This window comes from Homo sapiens, chromosome 2 (genome assembly GCF_000001405.40).
Source record: "Homo sapiens chromosome 2, GRCh38.p14 Primary Assembly".
Lineage (NCBI taxonomy): Eukaryota > Metazoa > Chordata > Mammalia > Primates > Hominidae > Homo > Homo sapiens.
In genome coordinates, this window is record NC_000002.12 from 152,804,045 (window position 1) to 152,807,033 (window position 2,989).

At 42.7% G+C, this 2,989-nt stretch overlaps 1 annotated feature.

Annotated features, from left to right (window-relative positions):
• Window positions 809–1,020: a silencer, noted in NCBI's record as "fragment chr2:153661367-153661578 (GRCh37/hg19 assembly coordinates)". NCBI's record gives its function as "represses an EF-1alpha promoter that drives an FKBP-Casp9 reporter gene in an ReSE screen in HepG2 liver carcinoma cells {active_cell/tissue: HepG2}" and the evidence as "EXISTENCE:reporter gene assay evidence [ECO:0000049][PMID:32094911]".

Here is a 2,989-nt window from a genome sequence, read left to right on the forward strand (position 1 = left end):
AAATTTAGAAGACTTGATCAAAATACTGTGCCCGGAATTGGTGGGTTCTTGATCTCACCAACTTCAAGAATGAAGCCATGGACCCTCACAGTGAGTGTTACAGTTCTTAAAGATAGTGTGTCCACAGTTTCTTCCTTCTGATACTCAGATGTTTTTGGAGTTTTTCTTCTCTCCTGGTGAGTTCGTGGTTTCACTGGCTTCAGAAGTGAAGCTACAGACCTTTGTGGTGTTACAGTTCTTAAGGCAGTGTGTCTGAAGTTGTTCGTTCCTCCCATCCGGAGTTGTTCATTCCTCCCAGTGCGTTCGTGGTCTCACTGGCCTCAAGAGTAAAGCTGCAGACCTTCACGGTTAAGTGTTACAGCTCTTAAGAGCAGTGCGGACCCAAAGAGTGAACAGCAGCAAGATTTATTGCAAAGAACAAAACAACAAAGCTTCCTGACCCGAGCACGTTGCCGCTGCTTGACGGGGAGGCCTGCTTTTATTATCTTATCTGGCCCTACCTGCATCCTGCTGATTGGTCCATTTTACAGAGAGCTGATTGGTCTGTTTTACAGAGAGCTGATTGGTCTGTTTTGACAGGGTGCTGATTGGTGCGTTTACAATCCCTGAGCTAGACACAGAGTGCTGACTGGTGCATTTACAATCCTCTAGCTAGACATAAAAGTTCTCCAAGTCCCCACCCAACTCAGGAACCCAGCTGGCTTCATCTAGTGGATCCTGCATTGGGGCCGTGGGTGAAGCTGCCTGCCAGTCCCGTGCCACTGTGTGCCTGCACTCCTAAGCCCCTGGGCGGTCGGTGGGATAGGGTGTTGTGGAGCAGAGGATGGTGTCTGTTGGGGAGGCTCGGGCCATGCGGGAGCACACGGGGGATTCGGGGGGGAGGCTTGGGCATGGCAGGCTGCAGGTCCTGAGCCCTGCCCTGGGGGGAGTCAGCTGAGGCCCGGCGAGAATTTGAGCGTGGCACCAGCAGGCCGGCACTGCTGAGGGACCCAGTGCACCCTCTGCAGCTGCTGGCCCAGGTGCTAAGCCCCTCACTGCCTGGGGCCGGCGGCACCGGCTGACCCCTCGGAGTGTGGGGCCCACTGAGCCCACGCCCACCCGGAACTTGCGCTGGCCCAGGAGCGCGCAGCCCTGGTTCCCACCCGCACCTCTCCCTCCATACCTCCCCGCAAGCAGAGGGAGCCGGCTCCGGCCTTGGCTAGCCCACAGAGGGGTTCCCACAGTGCAGTGGTGGGCTGAAGGGCTCCTCAAGCGTGGCCAGAGTGGATGCCGAGAGCGAGCGAGGGCTGCTATCATGTTGTCACCTCTCAATAGGATCACAGATCACTGTAAAATAATAGTCATTTGTTTAGCCAAAGTGATAATTAAAAGATTTCATAAAGCAAAAACCTTTACTCTCCCCAAATTCCTATATCCATTTCATTTTATCTACCTTTTTTAATTCCTGCAATTTAAAACAACCTTTATATACCTCTAAACTAAGAAAAATTACTTTTCCTGTAACAAAACTGCACTGACATATCTTCTTTAATAACCTTCACCAAAACACATTTTATTTTCTTTATACACTATATAGAATTGTTTCTTTTATATCTAGTCCTTTTAACCACATATGTTAACTATAATATTAACTCTTAGTAACCCTAATTTCTAGTGAAAGATCTAGGAAATAATCTTGAACTGTTTTATAACAGTATTTGTAGATGAAAATCATTTCATAATGTTTTAAAAAGATGTTTCCTCAATTTTTTTGTTAATTGACAGATCTAAACATTTAGATTTTCTCATATAAATATGACAAATTATATGAACTTAAACTCATGTTAAATGTTTCAGTGTTTTAGTTAAAAGTAACAGACATTTTTATAATTATCAATTATTTGACTTCAAGATTTTAAATTACTGAAAATAATTCTGAAACTATTACATAGGTACCCTCCCTACCTAACATCTTCTTAAGTCACATGACACATAGGACAGCAGTGAAAGGCAAGATCTGTCTGGGTCATGAATTTAAACATTAGTTGTAGAGCTCAGGATGGAAGACAGAGCTGTGAGGAGGATTCCTGGGGGATCCTACTCCCTTTCATCATGGCCAGGAGGCACAGGTGCTGAAGACACACATGTGTTTATAGGTCTCACCATGGCTACTTTTCTACACCACAGAATCTAAAGACTCAAAACCAAAGACATAAGTTCCAGAAATATCAAACTATCAAAAATGTCACAGAAGCAACAATTTTATAGCCTTAAAACAACTAGCACAGACAGCACAAACCTGTTTGACCAATAGATCCAGGTAAAAACATACGAACTATATTTAATATTGACAGTTCTGAAGATGTTCAAATTTCATTTTATCAACAATTTAAAAACTAGGGTTTTCTTTTTGTTTTTGTTTTTTACAAATTTTATTTTAAAACTTTTGTTTTAGATTCAGGGACTACATATGCAAGTTCATTACATGGGTATGTTGTGTGATGCTGACACTTGGGGTATGATTGATCCCTTCATCCAGGTAGTTCGCATAGTACCCAATAGGTAGTTTTTCAATATTTACTCGCTTTCTTTCCTCCCCCTTCTGGTAGTCCCCAGTGTCTACTGTTTTCATCTTTATGCCTATGTGTTTCCAGTGTTTAGCTCCCACTTATAAATGAGAACATGTGGTATTTGGTTTTCTGTTTCTGTATTAATTTGCCTAGGATAATGGCCTCTAGCTGCATCCATGTTGTTGTAAAGGCCATGATTTTGTTCCTTTTTATGAATGTGTAGTATTCCATGATGTACATTTACTATAGTTTCATTATCCAGTCCACAGTTGATAGGCACTTAGGTTTACTCCATGTCTTTGCTATTATGAATAGTGCTGCAATGAACATAAAAGTGCATATATCTTTCAAGTGGAGTGATTTATTTCCCTTTTGGTATATATCCAATAATGGAATTACTGGGTTGAATGGTAGTTCCTTTTTTTAGCTCTTTAAGAAAT